The sequence below is a fragment of the Homo sapiens genome, chromosome 8 (genome assembly GCF_000001405.40).
Source record: "Homo sapiens chromosome 8, GRCh38.p14 Primary Assembly".
Classification (NCBI taxonomy): Eukaryota; Metazoa; Chordata; class Mammalia; order Primates; family Hominidae; genus Homo; species Homo sapiens.
In genome coordinates, this window is record NC_000008.11 from 140760673 (window position 1) to 140783331 (window position 22659).

Consider the following 22659-nt stretch of genomic DNA (forward strand, 5'->3'; position numbering starts at 1 on the left):
GTGAATACACTGAAAAGCACTGAATTGTACACTTCAAAAGAGTGAACTTCATAGTAAGCAAATGATACTTCATTAAGCTATTATTAAAGCAATCATTTTTAAAATTTATTCATCTTTTTTGGAGGGTAAACTGGGGCAAATTAACATTTCTTTCTCAAAAATGCAGGTAAATAGGTATACTGGCTGTTTCTGACTCTCATCTGATTTGCTAATTCCATCCAAAGAACAGTCACCTATAAAAACTGTTACTGATGACAAAGGCTGAAAGATTAAAATGAATAAAAGACAGGCCCAGCCTTGTAGGAGCTAATGTTGCCATTTTTTGGTTTCTGAATACGCCAAGTATAAGCTGACATTTATGAAGAGCTTTATAAAAGACACCCGTAAATATTAATACCTAGAAGAACTAAGGACTCATGAAGACAAACAAAAGCAATTTAAACTTAAATAGTCAAAATTAGTCTAGTTGTTTGGTAGTCTTAAAAGACTTACTGGACTCATATAAATGCCTTGATGTACATCTCCAAATTGGCCTTCTCCAATACATCGTCCAAGTTCTATTCTTTCTCTTTGAATCTCATAATCCCTGGCTGTAAAACATAATTCACACATCAATACTTAAGTAAAATATTCCAAATGTAGAAATAACACTTGACGTATTTCTTGATCATCCATAAGTAAAATTTCATCTGTGGCACATCAATCTATGAAAATGCTTTAAACACAGTGGAATTCTCTTAAACAATATTTTAACAGGAATTCATGTAATTAGTTATGGTATTAGAAGAACTACTGAAACAATGAGTTCTACTAAAGGTAGATATTTTTCATGTTGTTCCTAGGAGTTTTTAAATTTCCGATTTATTTTATATCTATTTGATAGTTTTCTAAATAATTGCCCCAACTATTAAATTATATGCTTAACTATTAAGAACTATTAGTTTAGGTATTAATATATGAAGGCTATAAAAGCACAGTTATTAAAGCAATTATTTTACAAATAACTACAGTTTGTAAATATGGAAGCAACATAAAATTATGTCATAAGTAAACTTTATGTTTTGAAAGTTTAAGAGTTTTCCACTTTATGATAATCCTATCTCTACATTACTCATGGAGCTAAAAGAGTTTAAAGAGGTAGTTTCTTAAAACTAATTTCAAAGTTAGATGACTCAGAATCAAGGTTGGATGTATCAACATTATAAATCATAAATATACTTTTGAGACCATGTGCCTCAAATTAATATACTGTTATTGTAATATACAAAATCGATTATTCAGTAGGTTTTTGAGGCACATGGAAAGAAAATGCCCATTAAGAATGTAATAGATTCAATTATAACCCATTTACTACTTGGTATTTTGATTTATTTCAGGTAAGAAACTCATCTCCATAGGTTATTGCATATATATTCCAGTAGTGTAATCACCAATGAAATACACCAAGAGCCAAATATTTTTACATGTTCTCCCTGGTTTATCAAATTATAAACAACACAGAACATTCAACCCAAAATTTAGACAGTTATTTTCCTCTTTAAAATCACTTTAGCTAGTAGTTCCATTGATTTAACAGTATAAGTAAACCAATGACAAATAGTTTAAAAATAAGTTAACCAAAAACTGAAACATCCCATATCACTCCACAGGTTGCAATTGCAAGCAAATGCAGTTAATTTAAAGGAATCCTGTTACCTTCATCTATTCCATAGCTTTCTGTATTGCAATTAAGAGAGAAAAAAATTGAAGACCTTGCTTAGAAATAACTAACAGCAATTAGGTTAACAACACAAACTTGAAGAGAATATTTCAACAATACTTAATTTTTAAAATATTTTAAGCACAAATATGAATTTTAAAGAACTAAATACAAGTAAAAACTAAATATCTTCAAGTTAACTCAATGTTAGTTAAACAATGCTTTTAAGTTCCTATCTCATCAAGTTCCTGTAACTTATTTTTGTCAGGTATGGATGAAAGCCATGTTGGACATTTACTGCTCAACTATAAATAATAAATATACAAATAAAAACTGGATTATCTGCAGGAATGTACAAGTGTCTATATGGCTAATTAAAAAAGTAAACAAGTGTTTTGGTGTTTTTTTTTTCTTTTTTTGTTTTTCTGAGACAGGGTCTCACTCTGTTGCCCAGGCCAAAGTGCAGTTGTGCAATCAGGGCTCACTGCAGCCTCGACCTCACAGGCTCAAACAATCCTCACACCTCAGCCTCCTGAGTAGCTGAAACAACAGGTGCATGCTACCACGCCTGCCTAATTTATTTTGTTTTTGGTAGAGACAGGATCTTGTTATGTCACCTAGGTTGGTAACGTACTCTTAGACTCAAACAATTCTCCTGCCTCTGTCTCCCAAAGTGCTGAGATTACAGATGTGCGCCACCATGCCAAAAAGTTAAACCTAAGTTTAAACATTTTTCCAAACTGATACTGGCAATCAAAATGTACACACAAGTTTCAGCTCTGGCCTCTTTCGAGTAACTCTCTAGTCAAGAAGCTCCTGAAAGGGGACATGGGCCCACAGGGCACAATGCACACTTGAAAGGCAACACTGGGTTGTTTCTCTTCATTCCGGTAATGCTTCCTCAATGTATACAGAAAATCCAAACAAGAATATTTACAAGAATATTTATACTATAGAATAAGGCACCTATAACATTTATTTTACAAATATATATAGCTCTACTGAAATCAGGACATTCAGATTTTGAGTTAATTTCTAAGACTTCTGAAGACTCTTTAAAAGGCAGGTTTAATTTTTTTTTTTATACTCAAGTCAGTACTGTCTGGAACATTAAAAAAATAAGAAAATGAAATTAAGAAATAAATTTCTTTTTGCAAATGAAATTTCAAGAGTTTATCTAATTCAAGATCTGGAGACTATACACTCCAACATGAGACCTGGGGCTTCAAGATTTTCCTTAATCAACAAGCTGCACATCACAGAGAGAAGCAGAATCTTGACATTTCCAGGCTGTATGAAGGTCCTTTAAGAGTTCTGTTTCTCTCCCCACACCTCCCATCCCTGAGGTGTACAAACTGACGATGGTTATGAGCTATTTGTATTGGTTAGTCAATGGCAACAAAGAATAAACAATTTAAAGGGGGAAAATGCAAATTTTTGAATATATGTGTGTGAAAGTATGGGTATACGTGTGTGTATGTATGTGTATTATACATATATGGATATATATATTGTGTGTGTATATACACACACATTCACATATATACTTAACCAATAATACTAATTTTCTACAGACAGAAAATACCCTAATCAATAAAGGTTCTATTATGATAGAGTCAGAAAACAAGATTACAAAAATCCTGTAACTAAAAATTATTACAGATATTTGAGTTTTAGGCTTCTGACCTTAGAGTGGGCATATGTAAGTAATATAGAATGGTAAAGGTTGAAAAGAATATTTCTGTTCAGCATCCAAGGAAGTATTAAAAATGGCTCTAAAAAGACAGTAAGTATCAATAACTTTTAAATGCAAGGAGGCATCTGTCAAGTCTGAGCAAGAACAAAATCAGAAGTTTACTTACTTGAGGGCATGGTGTAAGTATCTTCTTCATCTATAATCTCAGCATAATCATCTGTTTCTGCAGGAAAAGAAACAGATATGTTGAAAGAGGTTAAACATCTGACCTCCTGGTATTTCATATAATTAAAGTAGGCAAAGCGATCTGCTTAAATCCTCTACTACGCTGAAATATTCTTAAAACACTATTACTCAAATTTTGCTCACACATGAGTCATTTATGGAAATAAAAGTGACATCATTGTCCAATACGTTATAATACACAGACTTGTTTATCGGAGAGCAAACAGGGCTAACACAGAAAGCCCTTGTAAAAAACAGAACGACATGAAACAACTATGTATATGCTTCAAATTAACCAATCTACCAACCGCAAAGCTCTTCCTCAACTACACCAAATACATGTTTAAAACTACAGTTGTCTACTGGGCTTTCTCCAAATAAGACTGGTATCTATAAAACACGGTATCTGATTTTATTAACAATTAGACTTGACAGCATAATCTGAACGGAACCTTTAGAAAATAAATGGTACCTAATTTTTGAGATTAACTGTGCTAATTCATTCCATTTGCTCAGGGTTGAGAAATGCAACAGGAATTTGTTTCCTAACTTTTAAACTCAGATATTTTAGGCATTAATGTCAAAAGGGCAGATCTACAAAGAAAAAAAGGAGAATAAGCAGCATATTACAATGAGGTTTTTTGAGATCACGTCAAGAAGTTCCAATGTATCTACCTACTCTTTTTGGGTAATACACCAACTTAAAAGTCCACCACTATATTAATGGGAAATTTAAAAATACCCATCTGAAGAAAACAGTCACTCATGTGGTAACACCTATACTGAAAAAATCACTTCAGCCTTGTCTTTTTTCTCTTTCTAGAAAAACGAAAATCTTCAGCTGCTCCATGTATAAGGATTTTAACTGCTGGGCCATTCTTGTGAGTCAGTAAAGCAGGGACAGGACTTTGTGATGCATCATTTCCAAGGAGCTCTATTTTGATACTTTGACCTAGCATCCTTGTTTAACACCAATGAAACGAAAAGCTACAAGTTCTTTCTTCTGTGACGCCTTATTACTGCATTCAGATATTAAAGGTACAGAATTCAAAGCAAATAGAGAATATATATGGTTTACAGTCACTGGGATATCAATCATTCCACATCTATGGTAATGACTGAGATCAAATCTACAAGTGGAAGAATTCACTTCTTATTATGTAATCATCATTAAAAGTGATTACAGTAAAAAAAAAAGTTGGGGAAGCAGATTATAACACCAATAAATCAATTCTCTTTAAGACAGTTATTATCTGTAAACTATTCCTAAGTCCTATATGACAGGCAGATAATCTATATTATTCTTATACGTTTATAAGAATACTTAAAAGATTAAAAAAGTTTTAATAGACTCCAAATCATACATTCTTTTATTTCTGTATTCTCCCTCTTAATCTGTTTTCAGCAAATACTAAGAACAGTAAATTGGCATCTGTAGGCCTATAGCTCTGCTTCTGTGTAAGATGGCTTATCAAAACACCCTGTGAAAGAAAATTTGGGGACGGAAGGAAGCTGCTAACACACTTGCAACAAAAAAGACTAAGCAGGGGAGGAATCTACTCTAACAGCTAAGGCAACAGAAGCCACACAAATGGCCATTTGCAATCATTTCTCTTTTGATTCCATAGTTTAACACGCTCAACTTTGTGATACTCTCCTCAGAAAATGAATGCAACTAAAGCTGTCTTTCCACACAACAGCCCTAGCACCCTCACTGCTTCCTTTCATATAAAGCACGTGCCTTTAGGAGTAAAGCACATGAATTGGCCCTGCTGCAGCAGGATTTTGGGAGAGCCACTCAAACTCTGCACCTCTGCTTCCCTTCCCCAGCTGCCCTGTTATCCAAACTGCTGAAAAGTCTCTACAACCCTGCACGTAGCTCATGGTGTTACGAAGCAGATGTTTTGCACTTGTCACCACAGCTTCATATGGCTGCAAAGTTCATTAAAAGCCTGTTCAGAAGCCCAAGTCTATCAGGTGACAGGTGTCTACTGCCTTAATGAAGAAGGGCATAAAGCTGCTGCTAACACCAGTGGCAGTGACCTCCAACTGAGGGCTTTACCATGCACCAAAGCTTATGCTGGCCTAGAGCCAATTCTGGTTTTAGCCACCTATTCAGAGACCTCTCCTCAGACTAATTTGCCCCCATCCCACTGTTCTTAATCATGTTCCCTGACTCATTTTCCTCATTACCTATAACAACCTGATATAATTTTGTTTCCTGTGAACTGTATGCCCACCTCTCTAGAATGGAACAGCCACCAGAGTGGAACCTTCACGTATCTTGCTCAACACTGTGTCCTCAGCAGCTAAAACAGTGTCTAGCACAGAGAAGGTCCCTCAAGAAACACATGCTAAACCAAAAGAATGAATGCACTGCAACAATCAGTAAAGGAACGCTATACCCCTAAGAAACTGAGGCAAAGGATTTAATCTGTGTGAGGCAGCACAGAAGTGAATGGTAGAGCTGCAATACACGTGACAAAATACACAAGCCCATTTGGGGAAAACTGCTTGAGCTTTGGAAAGTCACTTCACCTGGCAATGCTTCAGCTGTGCCCTCGTGGGTAAAATAACATCATCTGCCTTGTAGCACTGTTATGAGGATTACAGGAGACATGACAGAAAGTTGAGATGTGCCCTACACATAACAGATCATCAAGCAACAGTAACTCCTCTGATTGTTTTGCTTCTTCTGAGGGCTCTCTGAAAGGGACCTGGCAGTTGAGGATTTAGGATTCCTGTGTGCTGATACTCTCAGCCAATCTTTTTGGTTTGACAGCAGTCCTTCAAGGACTGTCTCATTTTATAAAATCCTCAGTAGAGATACCAACCTCTAAAATAATTGTGAAGGAGTAAAATAAATAGGCTAATATATATCAGGCTAGCACACATTGTGGAAAATATCATGTTGCATACATTTCAATTAATTCATACAATCACAAGAGAAAACCTGTAAATTTCTTTCTTTTTTTTTTTTAGCTGGATGAATTGTACATAAAATCTCTGGGGATGTATCAAAGCTGTCTAGGAATTACTTATATTTGGGTTGCAGGTGTGTGTACTATGATGCAATGTGAATAGAGAATTCATGGAGTAAAATCAACAATGTTGCAGGTAAATGATCTGCAAAAGTTTATAACCCTCTATATATGAGTTTCATATGTATGGTAATATCTGGTGTATATTTCTAAGAATTCCTTTTTTTTTGAAGACAGGTTCTTGCTCTGTCGCCTAGGGTGGAGTACAGTGGTGCAATCTTGACTCACTGCAGCCTTCACCTCCTGGGCTCAAGTGATCCTCCCAACTCAGCCTCCCAAATAGCTGGAACTACAGGCACGCGCCGCCATGCCTGCTAATTTCTTGTACCTTTTGTAGAGATGAGGTTTTGCCATGTTGCCCACGCTGGTCTCAAACTCCTGGACTCAAGTGTAATCCCAGAATGCTGAGAATACAGGCAGGAGCCACTGCACCCAGCCTTCCCAAGAATTCTTGACATTGATTTGGCTGTATTTTGCTTTTCTTTCCTGGTTTTTAGGATTGTTAAGATAGTATTACACTGATATGATAGGTATTTTTACATATTCAAGGGCCCTAAAAATTGGAGTACAGTCTGAAACTTCCTGGGCCCTCCACATGTTAGTGTAACATAGTTTAAGGAAAACAGAAAAATTACCCCCCAAGGGTTAATTCAAAAGATAAGGAAAATACAAAGAAAAAAGGAAACAAGTTCAAAGGCCTGGGCACAAATGAAGCTAGGTCTGCATTCTATATTTAATAATGACATTGACTACTAATCATATTATTGGGAGCTTACCATATACTAGATGCTGTTGTAAATAATTACATATATTGTCATTTAATCCTCAGCAAAATTATTTGAAGTTGTACTATGATCACCATCCCTATTTCACAGGCAAGAAACGGTAGCATACAAAAACAGGTGGGCCATATTTGGTCCATGGGCCTTACTGACCAAGACCAAGTGACTACCCTTAAGGCTCAGCTTATTCACCTGTAAAATGGGTTAAGTACACTTGCCCTGGCTAATTCATAGTATTGAGAAATTCATAGGTGGGAAAATACATACAAGTGTTTGCAGACATTTATCTAAATTTTGATGCTTACAGAGTAATCCTCACAACAACCACTTGAGACCTTTCCCAGATGAAGACCCAAGAGATGAAGCAATTTGCTTGTAATCCCTCAGCTAGTCAGCTGCTGACTGGATGGGGCAGTGGAAAAAGGGCAAGGCTGGAGCCTAAGACCTGACCACTTGCCTCTAGCAGCCTTAGAGTCTCTCTTAATCCTCTGATTATCACTTTCCTCACCTGCAAAACAGTGAGGACAATACCCAGTGATATTCTGAATGACTGCTGTGAGAATTAGGAATCAAGTCAGTAAAGTGTCACATGCAGAAAGCTCTAGATGAATTGCAGCTGCTAATTGATTATTATCACAGAATTAATCTAAAAATGAAGCTCAAATCTCTGACCTCAAATCCTGTGAAAAACACGCACTTTTAAGACCTTTTACTGAAACTGCTTAGCTCGTTATACTCGTTATCAATATCTCTATCCTATTACAAAAATGAACATAGGTGAAATCTTCAGTAAAAGCATTCTTTCATTTAATCAGGAGGAAAAAAATACAATTCCTTCTTAATTTTAGTTTATAAAATCTTACTCCTTTAGTATAAAGGAGGATAAAGTTTCATGCAAGCAGTATATGAAGTAGATGGGAAATGTAAGACATAGAATGTGATTTAAAATTTTTAAATTTCTACCTTAAGTGCTATCAACTATTTGAAAAACCAATTATCATTATTGCTGATATTTCCCTAATTCCGTTAGTTTCTGTGAGTCTTTAAAATCATTTTTCATTCTTTCCTTTCTACTATCTCATTCCCAAACTAAGAATTATCACACAGATACCACACTTGGGAAACAGAGTGTATGGACCGCTACCATTTACAGCTTTCAAGTGTTACTAATTTTGCTTTTGACATTTTTTAAGAACTCTCAAAGTTTTAATAATGAAATCTAGGAAATTTACTAGGAATACATACAACTCAAACTTACCACTAAAATGTGATTAAGAAATTGATAGTTATCCTTTCCATGCCAAAGCCCTAAGCAATTTTTAAAATATTTTGCATACCATTTTGTACTTGGTTCTGTTGGATCAAAAGCACATTTTGCCTTTCATTAAATACTAAACTATATTTATTTTCATAAATAATTATCTCATAGCAGTAACACAAATGTGAAAATAAATATTACCGTCCCCACTAATTTCATCTGCAGATCCGGGTGGCATGCAAAGAAAGGGAAGTAGGGAACAGAGGGAGGGAGACATAGGAAGGAGAAGAGGGAAGAGAGGGGAAAACACTATTAAAATGACAAGTAAACCAAAGTGTAAGAAAAATAAAAAACAATTACCCCCCAGGGTTTAATTCAAAAGATAAAGAAAGACTGTAGTGGTAGTATGTTTACTTGAATTTGAGGGCATAATGCTAAGTTTAAAGCTGTCAATGTATTACATGAAGTTACACAGCTAAAGTATTACAGAGTGTAAACTGGATTCTGCCACACTAAGCAAAGTTAATTTGACTGCCTCTTACAATTAAATTTTAAAAATGGTTTCTACCTTCCTCAAAGGGAACTTGTGTCCCCTCAGATAAAAATGCAAACAAACTAGTCATTAATCTGTATGTTTAGTTACAAGAAGAGAATAAGCCCTCAGCAAGCCCATTCCAATAAGCCAGTGGGATTTAAATATTATAAGGTAGACATAGGCCAGGCCCACTACTATAAACTGTGGGGAGTGCAGTACTTGAAGCTCTGCTGACAACGAAGGTTCCCATTTAAGTTTGCACAGAATAAATTTTGTTTTGAATAGTCTGGAGAAATTACTGTTTCAATTATTATAAATAATCTTTGCTTTCCTAGAAAATGCTCCAAATGGCATAGCTGCCTCTACTATGCAGCAGCCCTAAATATCTGTCCCCAAAGCATGAAAAGCAGACAACTAGGGAGTCACTTTGGCCATTCTCCTTCATTCAGTTGCATGCTATATTAGGAAATCCATGATGCAAAAAGTGTGATCCTGCTGACCTCTGTGGGAAAACACTCAAACAACACAAATGAAACTGAGAAGCGACTTCTTGCCCTGTCATGCATTTAAAAACCAGCAAACAGGCAAACAAAAAATCTTGTATTCAAGAGAGTAACCCAAAAACAGTGACATAAAACCTTGCCCCCACCCCAATCCCCTTATTGCTTCTGAACAATGAACAGCACATACACTAATATTCAATAAAGCTATGATCTGTTCAGGATAATCTATAAGCATCAGGTTAGAGTTAGTTTCTCTGGAGTGCTCTGGTTAATAGGAGAGCCTGTGCAAATATGAGTGCAGTACCCGTAGAAGGAGGATCATGGGAACAGAAGACCAAAGGGAGAAAGCGCCTAGCTTTCTTAACTTTATGTTGGCAGTGACTGACTCCTTTATAAAGAGGCAAGAGGGGAAAGAGAAAAATAGAAACAAATTATTTCAATACAAAAGACAACTTTTGTTACATTTAAAGGCTTATCTATAAAAACAGATACAAAATTGCAATGCTTTTATTTTGACTATTGGCATGCCTTATTTCTTACTATGATTGACTTGAGTTTTAAAAAACATACTAATATTTTTAAATTTAATTTCCTGTAGATTAGCACTTGATACAGAAACAAGACGTAAGAATCTCCCAGCTCTGTAGAGCCAGCCAGTTGAATATTCAGATATTTTTCCAAATGACAACAGTCACAGGAAAAAACAAAGACCAATAAATAATTCAAGACTCTTGTGAACATTTAACATTCAACCATAGCAGAAAAATAGCAGATCTTCATTTGTGAAAGAGTTTTACGAACAACTTTCCCCAAATCATTAGCAAAGACACACTCACAGCTCTTGAGTTATATACTTTACATAAATTACCTTAACATAAAAACTGGCGATGAGGATCTTTGAAAACACAGGTTGCAAAACCTCTACTAGCATTACGGATTCATTTGCTCACTCATTCATGTACTCAAAGCTCATTTTAGAGTCAAAAAGCTGGATCGATAAAACACATCTCAGCTCTCCAGAAGCATATAGCAAAATGAGAAAATAAGCAGCAACTGCAGTATGGTAATGGCAATAGTGGACAAGTGTGAAAGTGAAGTCAAAGCCAGGGATGCAGGGATGTAGCCCTTTAAGATGCAGCAGTCATTAACAAATGACAGACACAGGTAACATCAACATTTAACTGCATACTCACGGGGTATCATAAAGAAAGATCAGAAGTATGGACCCAAGAACAAGGGTCAGGACTGTTTGCCCATCAAGATGGTAACAATCTTATTGACATTGTCAATATATTAGCAACAGAAATGAGAACAGAAATGTACACTTCAGTAATATTTTTCAAACGGTATGCTTTGATCCTATTAACATTTTTTTTTTTTTTTTTTGAGACAAAGTCTCGCTCTTCTCCCCCAAGCTGGAGTGCAATGGCACGATCTTGGCTCACTGCAACCTCTGCCTCCGGGTTCAAGCGATTCTCCTGCTTCAGCCTCCCGCGTAGCTGGGATTACAGGCGCCTGCTACCAAGCCCAGCTAATTTTTGTATTTTTTTTTTTTTTAGTAGAGTCAGGGTTTCACCATGTTGGCTAGGTTGGTCTCAAATTCCTGACCTCAGGTGATCTGCGCACACTGGCCTCCCAAAGTGTTGTGATTACAGGCATAAGCCACCGCGCCCGGCCGATCCCAGTAACATTTACTGACAATTTCATCTTATTGCTTGACTTAAAAGCTACCTTTACACACACTAAATTTCTGGACTTTGTATATGATGGCCCTAGAGGAAAGCATAAACTGGTCTCTCAGTTAAGAAGATGGGCCTGCCAGCCTGTGTAACATAGCAAGACCCTGTCTCTACAAAAAAATTCAAAAATTAGCCAGGTGTGGAGTCACGTACCCGTGGGCCCAGCTATTGAGGAGGCTGAGTTGGGAGGACTGCTGGAGCCAGGAGGTAGAGCCTGGACCACAGAAGCAGAGCCTCTGAACTCCAGCCTGGCGACAGAGGGAGACCCTGTCTCGCCAAGATGGGCCTGACAACTGGATGCACTGTGTGATGCAGGATGAATTCTGGACTGGAGGCTGGGGAAGGGAAAGATCAGGAAGCAACAGCGATACGGAACATTACTGGTATGAAATAATTTAGACTGCGGATAAGAGCATTTCTTCAGTATTAAATTTCCTGATTTTGATAATTATACTCTGATCACATAAGATGATATCTTTGGTCTTAAACACACACTGAAATGTTTATAAGCAGCACCATGTCTGTAACTTGTTTTCACATGGTTCAAGGAAAAAACTAACAACAACAACAACAACAAAAAACCCATAGAGTGATAAAGCAAGTGAGCCAAAATATAAATATAGTGAAATGGAGGAAAGAACATATGAGACATCACGTTACTATTCTTACAACTATTCTCCAAGCGTAAAGTTACAGAAAAATAAAAGATATATGGAACACTAGCTCTGGGGCCAGACAGTTTGGATTCAAATACTGGCTCAATTATTCATTCTGACCTTGGATACACTGCTCAACTTCTGTTGCTTAGTTTTCTTATTGTAAAATGGGGTTATAACAGAAGCTACCTCCATTAAGGAGGTTGGGAAAGGATTCCATGGGATTCTCTGGGCACCCAGAACAGAGTGACCACTCCACAAGTGCTAGCTCTTCTTACTTTTCTACTGTTCATTTCTAAACTGGACTGAATATTCTTTATACTAACTTAAAAAGTGAATTTTTTAAAAAAGTACAACTCTTTTTGAGTAATACCAAGAATATTATCACACATCATAAAAACAAAAACAAAAAGGATTAGGACTTTTATTGTATTCAAGATAATCATTTTAATTATTGAACACCTGCCATAAACTAGGCATACCATGTAGGTGCTGGAGTTAGAACAGTGAACAAAATAGAAACCCAAACTTTCAAATTATTGAGCTTACGTTCTAGTAAGGGAGAAGGAAGATAAAATAAGTAAATTTTATGGCATGTCAACATGTAAGTGCTAGGGAAAAACCAGCAGAAGGAATATTTTCAAGTGGGGCTACCATTTTAAATATGGTGATTATGGAGGGAGTCATCTGCAAAGACTTCCAGGAGGAGAGGGAAAGGGCCATGCACACATCAGGGGAGGCCAGGCAGCACACACACAGGCCTTGGCTCTGCAGAGGTCAGTGTGAACACGTGCTGAGGAGCAGCAGGGAGGTCAGGTGAGGTGGATGAAGAGTTGGGAGTGGGAAGGGGGAGGTGGCACTGAGATGCACTCAGTGAGGTCCCAGAGTGTCTAAGACCTCTTAGCTCCTGGTAAGGGCACTGGCTTTTATTCTAAATGATGTCAAGAGTCATTCAGAATATTGTTTCCTTTTAAAGGAAAAGAGAGAGTTCCTACATTGTTTCACAAATTCTAGGAATGTGAAGATAATGGGTAAGGCCACTAGTCAAGAAAAAAATGCCTTTCAACAATTGCTCCGGGCCCGGGTGCAGGATAGGGGTGAGGAGGGCATGACTGAAGCCCCATACTCCTGCCTCTCTGGGACTGATAAATTTTGCAGACCTCACATACCTCAGGCTGCTCTGAGCAGCTTTTCCTTTCTCACCAGTCCAACTTTCTATGTGATTACGCTGGTTCAGATTTACCTCAGTCTCAACTAGCTTACTGCAATCCTACCTATTCCCTTTTAGAAGGCTCCCAGGAAGCCTTTGAAAAATGACAGACGATGTCACTCTTCTCATTCTCTGCTCTCTTTTGTACTGAGTTACTTGTTCTCTTTGGCTTTTGCGGTACAGGGATTACTCCATACTGTGAGGGAGAACTTGAACTTTGTATGTGTGGCAATGTGTGATCAATTGGCAAGTCACCAGCAAAAGCTGCAGTTTTGGAGTGGCTGACAGTGGTCACAGTGAATGGTTATAACTGCAGAGGGCTACTTACTTCTCTACACATTTAGATAAGAAAAGCAGTTTGAACACTTGGAGGCTAAGGAAACACTCACCACCAACGGGTAAGACTCCTATGGAAGATGGCAGAATGGGCTGATTGGTGTTGGGTCACCCATCAGCATCACAGGAGTGTCTCTCCAGCATGGAACACTGTGGAACATTGTGTAGCGTGGTCCTATTATCAGAGGCATCCGACCCAGAACAACTCCATCTTGAATAGGGGCTCGGTAAAATAAGACTGAGACCTACTGGGCTGCGTTCCCAAGAGGTCAGGAATTCTAAGTCACAGGATGAGACAGGAGGTTGATAGAAGATACAAGTCATAATAAAGACCTTGCTGATAAAACAGCTTGTGGTAAAGATGCTGGCCAAAACCCACCAAAACCAAGATGGTGACAAAAGTGACCTCCAGTCATCTTCACTGCTTACTATATGCTAATTATAATGCATTAGCATGCTAAAAGACACTCCCACCAATGCCAGGACAGTTTACAAATGCCATGGCAAGGTCAGGAAGTTACTCTGTATGGTCTAAAAAGGGGAGGAACCCTCAGTTCTGGGAATTGCCCACCTCTTTCCCAGAAAACTCACTAATAATCCACCCCTTGTTTAGAATATAATCAAGAAATAACTGTAAGTATCCTTAGTCCAGCAGCCCACACTGCTGCTCTGCCTATGGAGTAGCCATTCTTTTATTCCTTTGCTTTCATTTTACCCTATGGATTTGCCTCAACTTCTTTCTTCAGCCAGATCCAAGAACCCTCTCTTGGGGTCTGGATCAGAACTCCTTTCAGGTAACACCATGGTATTTCCCTCTTTCGGGGGAACCAGGATTCAATGTAAAAGTGGGAACCAGGCATGGTGGCTCATGCCTGTAATCCCAGCACTAGGGGAGGCAGAGGTGGGCAGATCACCTGAGCTCTGGAGTTGGGAGACCAGCCTGGGAAACATGGCAAAATACTCTCTTTACAAAAATACAAAAGCTAGTCAGGCGTGGTGGTGTGTGCTTGTAGTCATAGCTACTTGGGAGGGTGAGGTGTGAGAACTGTTTGAGCCCGGGAGATGGAGGTTGCAGTGAGCCAAGATCACGCCACTGCACTCCAGTCTGGACAACGGAGTGAGACCCTGCCTTAAAAAAAAACAAAAACAAAAAGTGGGGTCCTTGATTTTTTTTAAGACGGGGTTTTGCTATGTTGCCCATGCTGGTCTCTAACTCCTGGGCTCAAGAAATCTGCCTGCCTCGGCCTCCCTGAAGTGCTGGGACTATAGGTGTGAGCCACCATACCAGGCCCTTGATTTTTATGCTGGGCCTTCCAGCTATGCCTGCTTTTCAAATATTTAAATACTAGGCCCTGAAAACTGCAAATGCTTTATTTGCCCAGTTCATTAAAGGGCTCCAACTTGAAGTCAGTAATCTAATTAAAAAACAAGCTAAGTTGAAAAGGACACCTATCAAAATAAATCAGTCTCCAAAATACAACTTTCTGACATTTAGCTGCTTATTTTGAAATCCTCTGTCAGAGAAATTTACACCTATAAAGGAAATTACCATTTTTAAGGGTATCTTCGCCCCTGCACCTAAACCACTAAAATATTATCTTCACATTCCTGGAATCTGTGATATAAAGAACAATGGACAATCAATAGTTTATTATTATTATTATTCTCATTGAGAGAGTCTTGCTGTGTCCATCCAGGCTGGAGTGCAGTGGCGTGATCTTGCTTACTATAACCTCCGGCTCCCAGGTTCAAGTGATTCTCGTGCCTAAGCCTCCCCAGTGGCTGGGATTACAGGCATCCGCCACCACACCTGGTTAATTTTTATATTTTTAATAGAGACAGGTTTCACCATGTTGGCCAGGCTGGTCTGGAATTTCTGACCTCAGGTGATCCGCCCGCCTCGGCCTCTCAAAGAGCTGGCATTAAAGGTGTGAGCCACCATACCTGGCCAATAGTTACATTATTTTAATGCCAATTTTTGGTAAACAATTTAAGAACTGTCTGTTCTTTTTTCCTTTACAAATCCACTTGTAATTGCTGCTAATCAGAGTACCTATATAGGACAACTTCAATCTATGACTTGGTCTTCTAAATATATTCCCAGTGTAAACCCTAAAGGAAAAAACTTAGGCAAAATTAATATAAGTACAGAGTTTATTTGCAGGAGCAATTTGGATTTGTTAATAGATTGGATATGGGAGAAGAAAACAAAGAATAGCATCAAAAATAACCCCAAGGATAATCTGACCAGCCAGAAGGAAAGTAGTGCCATTTAGTGAGTGGAGAAGGGGAGAGAAGCAGGCTTGGCGTGAATATCAGTTCCTTTTGAGTATATTAAGTCTGAAATGCTTATGAGACATCAGATTCCACATGGCGAGAACATAGTGGCCACGGGTCTGGAGTTCAAGAAAGAAGTCTGAAAAACTAAGATAACAATCTGAGAGTCAGCAGCATAATTAAGTCATGAAACACAATGAGATCCCCAAGGGTGTGACTGTGGCTGACACAAAGTGTCAGAAGAACTGAGTCCTGGGATCCTCAGGCGCGAAGTGCTGAATAATGAGTGAAGTAGGAAGAATATGGTATTCTGGAAGCAAAAGCAGGGCAATTTCAATAAGGAGCAACACTGAATCGCAATAACTCACATAAAGAGTTCTTCTATCATAAGCGGACCAGTGATGTCAGAAGGGGGCTACTAAGGCGGGGAAACCACAGTGGGTGATGTGCTAATGAAACCAGAGCTAACCTGATTAAGCCTGCCAAACTTAACCTGCCTTGTTTGCTGTATTAGGCCATTATTGTATTGCTATCAAGAAATACCGGAGACTGGGTAATTTATAAAGAAAAGACGTTTTAATTGGTTCACAGTTCTGCCAGCTTCATGGAAAGCATGGTGCTGACATCTTTTTGGCTTCTGGGGAGGCCTCAGGAAGCTTACAATCATGGCAGAAGGTGAAGAGGGAGCAGGCACATCACACAGCAAAAGCAAGAGCAAGGGGTGGGGTGGGGAAAAGCCACATACTTCAAAGGACCAGGTTCTAATGTGAACTAAGAGCCAGAGCTCACTCATCACCAAAGGAACGGCCCACGCCATTCATAAGGGATCTGCCTCATGATTCAAGCACCATCCACCAGGCCCCACCTCCAAAACTGGGGATTACATTTCAACATGAGATTTGGGCAGGGACAAATATCCAAATGATATCAGTTGCTTTTAGTCGCTTAGATCTAAAAACTCCCACTAGCAAGTCAAATAGCCAGACAATCCATAACTAAACTCCCATTAGCTTCCTGTAGGTCACTGCAGTAATGGGTGCTTTAAGTTGTTTTTCAGGAAGTAGGGGGCAGCTCTTGTCCCGCTCAAGCAGCTTGAGGCCACCAATCCTTCAAATGGGCTTATGCCAATGCAGGAGAGATGACCATATGACATCAGAGAGCTGAAAACTCTTCCCTCAGATCAGGGTAATGCTACCATTTTCTGAACACGCGTTCTATGAAGAGTCAGGAAGCCTGACTATGTGTGGGCAGATCACTTATTAACTCACTTTTCCTTATACCCAATCACTTTTTCCCATGCCTTCAACTGCCCTGCTCCTCTATCCCATAAATATCCCTAAAACTTCATCTTTGGAGAGGCATATTTGACATTTGTTCTCTCATCTCCTCACACGGCAGCCTTGGGAATGAGATCTTTCCCCTTTGGCAAAACCTGTTGCCACAATGATTGGCTTGCTGCACGTTGGGAAAAAAAACTAACAGTAGTAGAGCAGGGAAAATTCCTGACCAGGTAACAAGTGATAGAGGGTAGACTGGTAACAAATTAGACTTAATTGGGCTGGGCCTGGTGGCTCATGCCTGTAATCCCAGCACTTTGGGAGGCTGAGGCACATGGACCACTTGAGGCCAGGAGTTTGAGACCAGCTAACATGGAGAAATACTGTCTCTATCGAAAATACAAAAATTAGCCAGGCATCTGTAGTTCCAGCTACTCAGGAGGCTAAGGCACAAGAACTGCTTGAACCCGGGAAGCGGAGATTGCAGTAAGCCGAGATCGCACCACTGCACTCCAGCCTGGGTGACAGAGAGGGGCTCTGTCTCAAAAAAAGTAGTAGATCTAACTGGGTGAGGACAAGTCATCTATTGTGAGATCAAGGCAGGCAGCACTTATGGCTGGCAAATGCTGGAGGTTTAAGGAAAGGTTCAAAGTGGCTGTGAGATGGAATTGAAAGCAAGACCAAAGCAATGTGGTTGTGCTATTCGCTTTACGGTTCAGTTGTGCTACAGCAGACATGGGACAGAACGAGCTGGCTTTAACTTGGCCAAGTGAGTTAAAACCAAACAAACGAGTAGGGCAGAGATGATGGGGATGTAGGCCAGGGAAGGATACAATTATTGATCAGGGGTTTTAGGCTTGTTAAGAAACCAGAGAAGACAAAAAAATGTGATGTAGACAGCAGAATGGGGATGGGATCAAGGACAAGCTAGAAAAATTGGAGGTGGCAGTCAGAGAGGGTTTTCTTAAAATTGAAATTATAGGAGAGTTATAGTTGTAGATAAAGTGTAGGTCTCACAGGAAAGAGAAATAGCAGACAGCACCACTGGAAGAATGGAGAGAAGAGGTGCTGGGGCTGGGCACAGTGGGTCACACCTGTAATCCCAGCACTTTGGGAGGCCAAGGAGGGCAGATCACTTGAGGTCAGGAGTTTGAGACCAGCCTGGTCAACATGGTGAAACCCCGTCGCTACTAAAAATAAAAAAAATTAGCTGAGTGTGGTGGCGCACACCTGTAATCCCAGCTACTCGGGAGGCTGAGGCAGGAGAATAGCTTGAAACTGGGAGGCAGAGGTTGCAGTGAGCCGAAATCCCACCACTGCACTCCAGCCTGGGCGATGGAAAAAAAAAAAAAAGAAAAAAAAAAAAAGAAGACATGCTGGAGGAATTGCCTACCATGAATATTGAAATCCTCCCAAACTACGATGGGGGATGCTGGAGCACTGACAGTGAACTGGGTGCTCAGAACTTTGAGGAACATAGGACAGCCTTGTTCTGATATGTGAGATTCAAAGCTCATGTTTTTGAGGGAGAGTAGTCTGGAAGGGGCAATGAGAATCAGGGCACCCTTACCTCATCTCCAGTCCTAGTGCTACCATGGTTCTCAGACACCATCAGTAGGGTTACAGAGGCACCAAGGGGTATCAGTGCCCTCCAGAGTTTTAGTTAGAGGAAGGTGACAAAGAGGAATATATAGAGAAGTCCCAGAAGACAGAGGTGTAGTGTTTTAGAAGTTGGGGGAAACTGAGCAATAAAGACAAAACAGAGGGTATGCAGAGGGTATGCCAGCAACAAGGGAGTCTGGGGCTTCTGGAGGAACAGGTATGAATAGGGATAAAGAGCATAATGAGATTAGTCCAACTGGATCAGCATTTTCCTTTTTATTTCTAGTTACATAAGTAAGGCGATATTTTCCTTTGACCATACCTCTCAATTCTATTCTTCTCCTTGGGCATGAGGGTGTGGTGCTGACAAAGCTGAACACTACCGAACTCTGTGTTCCAGCAAACAGGTTTCCCAGTAATCATCCAACCTGGGGTGGTCATGGGGGAACCTCCTATTCCAACAATGTGAAAAACACACAAATTCATACTGATATTTTAAAAAGAAAATCTCAAAGAATGACATCTGACTAGCAAGGTATAATTTACTATTTTAAAAACTGGTAAATAAAGGAAAAGAAAAAGGCAGTTCCTGTCTTCCCAGGAGAAGCCTGCTCCCGAGGGTAATGAAGCAGCTGGTGAGGGAACGCTGTCTCTAGAAGCATTCCAGCTAAACAAAGGGAGAAGAAATGACAGGATTCACAGGGTGCCATTTTGTGGCCTCTGATGAAATCTAAGCATTAATGTCAACAGCTGCTAAAACTATTAGGTGAAATGCTCATGGGAACGTTCTCATGTATGGATCAGAGAGTGATGGGACCTAAACCCATTGATTAGTCTTAACATCACAAAGAACAACCAGATGTACATCACCTAAGAAGTATTCTTGTTGTGGGGAGGGGGGGAATCAAGCCCAAACTGGATCAAACTTCTTTAGGTTCTAACAAGCAGCTGATGGGAAATAAACGGGCCAGAAAAGAATAGGTTAAACAAGACAGCATCACAGAGATGTAATCAGCCTAATCCAGAATATGAGAATAGGACAAGGGACACAATTTCTTCAACAGAGTAATTGCAACTAGTAACAATCAACCAACAAGGTCTAGCTGACACATACAGGAGATACTCAAGCAAATTCACAAAGTACTTCTTGTCTGATTCTTGTTTAGACGAAACCACATATGAAAATGGGACAATCAGGGATATTTGAACACTGACTGGATAGCTGATAATGTTTTGTAAAAAAAGTCTCATCTTTTAGGAATAGTTACAGGTGAAATATGCCTTCGATTTGCTTTAGAATAACCAATAGGGATTATGTGTGTATGTAAGTGGACAGAGGCAGAGGTGAAATAAAATTGGCCAGAAGTTTTTAGTTGCTGAATCTGGGTGATGATGATACGAAAAATCATGATACAATTCTATTCTCTCTTTTCTGTATATGCTTGAAATTTTCCATAAAAAGTTTTAAAAACTCAAAATTCAAAAGCATAGTAGGTACTTAATATTTATTCATTTCCATGGTCTCCTCTTTGTAAAGGCATCAAAAATATTTTGTCTTGACTCATGCAGTTTGATTTTAATCCACAATTATTGTATAGCTATAAGCTACAAACGGGGTGGGGGAAGACTTGAGGTCAAACTCTAGAATTTATATTTTAAACTTTCAAGCATTCCCTTTAAAATTATTTTCTGCAAAGAAAAAAATAACTGGGCCTTTTGATGTTAGCAATATTTATTTTATATTTGGTAAGATGATGATACTTGGGCTTTTTGTGTTTTAATAATATATTTTTTTAAAAAGATTGAGAAGTTTATTAATTATTGTTAATAAGTTTCGCCAGAGGATCAAGATGGTTCATAAGCCAAGTATACCCAATACTGCCAACTGTGAAGCATTTATTTTATAAAGACAAAAATACATTTTTGTTTCTAATACTCTCATATAGTCTTTTCCCCTTTATAGCGTGGGGGCTGCTTGGGAGAAGATGGGAATACTCTCTTCTGGAAACAAAATTTATAAGACTGAGCTGGATTTCTGTGGGCTGGGAAGAGTTTATAAAAACAAAAATCCACTTTAAATTTTTGTTGTACTCATTATTGCTCAGCTTTTCATTTGGCCTTTTTAAAAATTTGAAAGTGCCTCAGGCTACCCCTTGCCAGGGAGGTCTGTGAGTTTCTGTCTGCACTGTCTGCACTGCCTGCAGCTGAGACGAGTTCAGCTCAAGGGTGAAGGAGTGGTTCCGGGTCCTTTTTCAGGATACTTCTTTACAACATACGATGCTGATATTTCAAAACCTATATGACCTCCAAGTATTCTTTTCAACTGCTTTAGAACCCAGAGAAGAAACGGTATGACTACGAAGAACACCCCGATCTCAACAGTGGCAAAGGGAGTTCGAATGATGTAATGGTGGGAGAGGGAGGGCTATCGGAAAGAAGGCAGCACAGCTGGGCTATTTTGATTGTTCACTTCCTTATTCATGCACAACACGATCAGCCAGTCTATCCATATGAAGTCAGTGACAACTGTACGCTTCTCAGTGGTTTGGAGTCTCTCCTAATACCAGACTGACTACCAGAATAATTTCCAGTGAGCCAGGTACTAGGAACAGATCAATAACATTCAATACCTACTACTTTGTGCACATAAAAATTATTAGTAGCATTAATTTGATTAAATTATGTCACAAAGCATATAATTTACAAAAATGAATTTATCTTTTAAAATTTGGTTGTTTTTTTTTTTGGGGGGGGGGACAGGGTCCTCTCTTTGTCACCCAGAATGGAGTACAGTGGGGTGATCTCAGCTCACTGCAACCTCCAAATCCCAGGGTCAAGAGATCCTCCTACCTCAGCCTTCTGAGTAGCTGGGACTATGGGCACACGCCTCCACGCCTGGCTACAGTTTTTGTAGAGACAGGGTTTCACCATGTTGCCCAGGCTGGTCTCAAACTCTTGGGCTCAAGTAATCTGCCTGCCTTGGCCTTCCAAAGTGCTAGGACTACAGGCGTGAGGCACTGTGCCTGGCCTAAATTTAGTTTTACTTTTTAATTTTTTCAGTGTCCCGTAGATTTGGTAGGGAAAAAAATGAACTACTTATATAATAGGTGACAATGCTCTCAAATTAGGGCAAGGTTTTTTTTTTTCTTTTCTTTCCCCTTTTAATTCCTAAAAGCTAGCATTTAAATCAAGCTTTCAGCAACAGATAGAGACTACCTTGGAAACCCACAGCATTATCAAAATTGAAACTAGAGTGTAAAACTAGACAGAAGAACCTTTTTCAAACTTGAATACAGGGCACACTTCTGAGAGTTGGAACTGAGTCAGCACTATCCTATTCCTAATAAATGAGGGGAAAAAACCTTAATGGAATCACACGCAAACTCTTTCAAAGTATTATTTCCTTCCACACATTTATATTATCAAGCTTTAGAAATGAGTCAACATAGGCTAGGTGCAGTGGCTCACACCTGTAATCCCAGCACTTTCGGAGGCAGAGGCAGGCAGGTCGCTTGAGCCCAGGAGTTTGAGACCAGCCTGGGCAACATAGGGAGACCCCGTCTCTACAAAAAAAATACAAAAATTTGCTGGGCATGGTGGCGCACACCTGTAGTCCCAGCTACTTGGGAAGCTAAGGCAGGAGGATCACTTGAGCCCAGGAGGTTGAGCTGCAGTGAGCTGAGATCAAGCCACTGCAATCCAGCCTGGGTGACAGAGGGAGACCATGTCTCCAGAAAAAAGAAAGAAATGAGTCAATATGGTCTAATGTAAAGAGAACAAACCTTCTAGTCCAAGATCAAGATTTCCATCAGGCTATTACTTA

At 39.3% G+C, this 22659-nt stretch overlaps 1 protein-coding gene across 173 annotated transcripts in view; it reads right to left on the reverse strand.

Moving 5' to 3' along the window:
• Positions 1-22659, reverse strand: part of PTK2 (protein tyrosine kinase 2) — a 344180-nt gene that overhangs the window by 102773 nt on the left and 218748 nt on the right. For 70 of the 173 annotated variants that reach the window (NR_170671.1, NR_170672.1, NR_170673.1 and 67 more), the window contains 2 exons: positions 3562-3618; positions 493-590 (listed from right to left, as the gene is read on the reverse strand). Coding sequence is in view for 165 of the 173 variants with exons in the window: in NM_001352741.2 (NP_001339670.1) it covers positions 493-590; positions 3562-3618 (155 nt within the window). In the remaining 8 variants the exon portion in view is untranslated. Of the gene's footprint in view, positions 1-492; positions 591-1695; positions 1717-3561; positions 3619-8902; positions 8921-10043; positions 10128-22659 lie in introns of all 173 variants that reach the window. The other 103 variants (NR_148039.2, NR_148038.2, NR_148037.2 and 100 more) reach the window with 5 other exon arrangements.